Source organism: Homo sapiens, chromosome 15 (assembly GCF_000001405.40).
Source record: "Homo sapiens chromosome 15, GRCh38.p14 Primary Assembly".
Taxonomy (NCBI): Eukaryota; Metazoa; Chordata; class Mammalia; order Primates; family Hominidae; genus Homo; species Homo sapiens.
In genome coordinates this window covers 95,744,859-95,747,905 of record NC_000015.10, presented here as the reverse complement: position 1 = coordinate 95,747,905, position 3,047 = coordinate 95,744,859, and the positions used below count along the sequence as shown (strand labels likewise).

General features: G+C 40.1%; 1 pseudogene; it reads right to left on the bottom strand.

The window, feature by feature from the left end:
* On the bottom strand, positions 1,915-2,102 carry RNU2-3P (RNA, U2 small nuclear 3, pseudogene; annotated as a pseudogene).

The following is a 3,047-nucleotide window of genomic DNA, read 5'->3' as shown; positions in this document are numbered from 1 at the left end:
ACTCACAACCATAGTCTTCCAATTTTAATTCCAGAATCTTGTGCATGTCTTCGTATTTATTCTTAAATATATCGGAAAGTAAACAAATGCTACATCAAAGTGATCTGTTTGTACTTGATCCTTTTTGGCCACAGTCCTGCTGATCTGTGTGTATAATTTTTTTGCCTACGGTTGATCCTATTCTCTCCCCTTAAATAAAGAGTTTCACTTACTGCCGTTCACCTTGAAGGGAGGCACATTCTGCACACAGTCTGAAGATGCAGGATGAATTACCTCTCCCTCTGCCACCCACACCCAAGAAGAGAATAAAGTGTAATGGACCAAGGAGGAGGGTGGGGAGAGGGAAGGATGGGGAAATGAAATACAGCAGGTTTGGGAAAAGGATATCGCTTTCGTGATTAATATTAAAGTTCTGAGCTCACAGACATCAAATTTTATTCTCTCTTCCTAAGATTTGGATGAACCATACTATTCCTGGCTTGGAGCAAGAGTCTCATGCTAAATGATACTAAATATCAGGAATGAAAATGTTCTTAAATTTTTTGCTTTTTAAAAACCTTTGAAGTTCAACTGAGTGTTGGAAGATACCGTGCAGGTTTCAGAACTTGCCAATATCATATATGTATTCCTTTGACCTCGTCAGCCTCCCTGTTCTGTTTACCCAATCTCATACATGTATTCTCTTCCATATTTCTTTGGGTTTAATTAATATTTATATGGGTCGATATGCTTATCACTTCAAAGTAAATCTGAAGCCTAGTTGATTATTAAGTCTTTAACTCTATGGAAGCTTCTAGTTACAGAAGTTCATTTGCAGTTATGTATACAGCCAGCATATATCGAACATGTCTTACATTCCAAGCACTGTGCTCAGGGCTGAGGGTGAAAAAAGAAGCAAGGCACAGTCATTTGTCTCAAGAGTCTCACTGATTAAGGTTACAGACCTGGTGCCCAGCACATATAAAGCCTGGCATGGCAGATGAGAAGTGGAGGCTCAGGGGAAGTTGATGGAGAGCATTTGTACTTACGATGACAATGGAAAGGGCTGAGGCAAATTCGATGGTGGTTGCCTTGTTTAAAGGGGCAGTCAAAACCCAGATTCAGCCCTTCCTTGCTATATAGAAATGTTAATTAATTGTGTCAGTTAGGAAAGCTTGCAAATCTATATTTTATGAGAGATTGTAAAATAATTTAATGTAGGTTCAATTTTTTTTTTAAATTTCAGATAGAGTCTCACTCTGTCCCCAAGCTGGAATGCCATGATGCGATCTAGGCTTACTTCAACCTCTGCTTCCTGGGTTCAAGCGATTCTCCTGCCTCAGCCTCCCGAGTAGCTGGGATTAGAGCTGTGCACCACCACACCTGGCTAATGTTTTGTATTTTTAGTAGAGACAGAGATTCTCCATGTTGACCAGGCTGGTTTTGAACTCCTGACCTCAAGTGATTCGCCTGCCTCAGCTTCCCAAAGTGCTGGGATTACAGACGTGAGCCACCACACCCGGCCTAGGTTCAATATTGAAAGTGTGTTTTCACAAAACATGTTTTGTCCCCTTTGTTATGTAATCTGTTCATCAATTCAATTTAATCTCATCATATGATTGCTGGCTATAATTAGGGGCCTTTTCAAATCAATGTAGAATATAGTTATGCCACAACAATAATGACTTTTCTAAATATGATGTTTTATGTTTGAGTAGAGAGGTAGCATGGTTTGGATGTTTGTCCCTTCCAAACCTCATGTTGAAATGGAATTCCCAGTGTTACCGACAGGACATGGTGGGAGGTGTTTAGGTCATTGGGATGGATCCCTTATGAATGGCTTTGCGTCATCCCCTTGGTGATGAGTGAGTTCTCGCTCTGAGTTCACCTGAGATCTGGTTGTTTATTTTATTTTATTTTTTTAATACCTCGAGGGGGTGCACTGTTCCTGGAGGTACTGCAATACCAGGTCGATGCATGGAGTGGATGGAGCAAGCTTCTATTCCATCTCTCTGCTCCAAAAATCCATTTAATATATTGTCCTTGGATAGAAGATGTATCATATATTAAACTGATAAAAACAGATACTACACTTGATCTTAGCTAAAAGGCCAAGAAGTGATAGATCTCGTTGTTTAAAAGTTTGTGGCACCTCCCCTCTCTCTCTCTCACTACTTTTCTTGCCATGTGACTGACTGTCTGCTCCCACTTAGCCTCCGTCATGAGTAAAAGCTCCCTGAGGCCTCTACAGAAGCTGAGCAGATGCCAGCACCATGCTTGTACAGCCTGCAGAACGATGAGCCAATTACCTCTTTCCTTTATAAATTACCCAGCCTCAGGTATTCCTTTATAATAGCTCAAATGGACTAACACAGGAAATTTTCAGTTTATTGGTCAGTATAGGCTATGGTAAGGTACAGTAACTGTTGACTCCGTAAAATCAATGGCTATGACAACAAAACATGTATTTCTTACTTCTATTACATAGTCATTATTTTTAGGCTGCAATTGTACTCCAAGTTGTCTTCTCCTTGGGCCCAAGGATGATAGATCTATCTCTAGCACATTGGTGTCAATCACGGGCAATAGAAAAGCGGCACAATCTCTTAAAGCATTGGCTTGGAATGAAACCTGGCACTGGAACACATTGGCCAAAGAAAGACATTTGGCCATGGAGTGGTGGGGAAATACAATCCACACCCATTGAGATGAGAGGGAGCAGTCATTCATGAACAGTAACGTTACTGAAAAACTATTTTCCATTAGCTTAGTGTCATTTGGCGGTAGCTACTACTTTAGTTTGCTGAAGGTAAAACCCTCAAAGCCCTCACTATTGACTTCCTTTGGTTTAGGAAACAACCAGGTATGGCCATTTGGTGAAAATAAAAGTGAACATCCACTCATTTTTCTAGAAGAAAACCGTGAGAGCCTCTAAAATTTAAATGCAGTTCTTATTAAGATGAAGATTCTAAAAGTACTATTTAGTAATGTGAATTGGAGAAATCTTTAACCCTTGTAAAAGGTGGAAGCAGAGTCCAAAAGAACAATGTAATGTTCTTTACATGGAG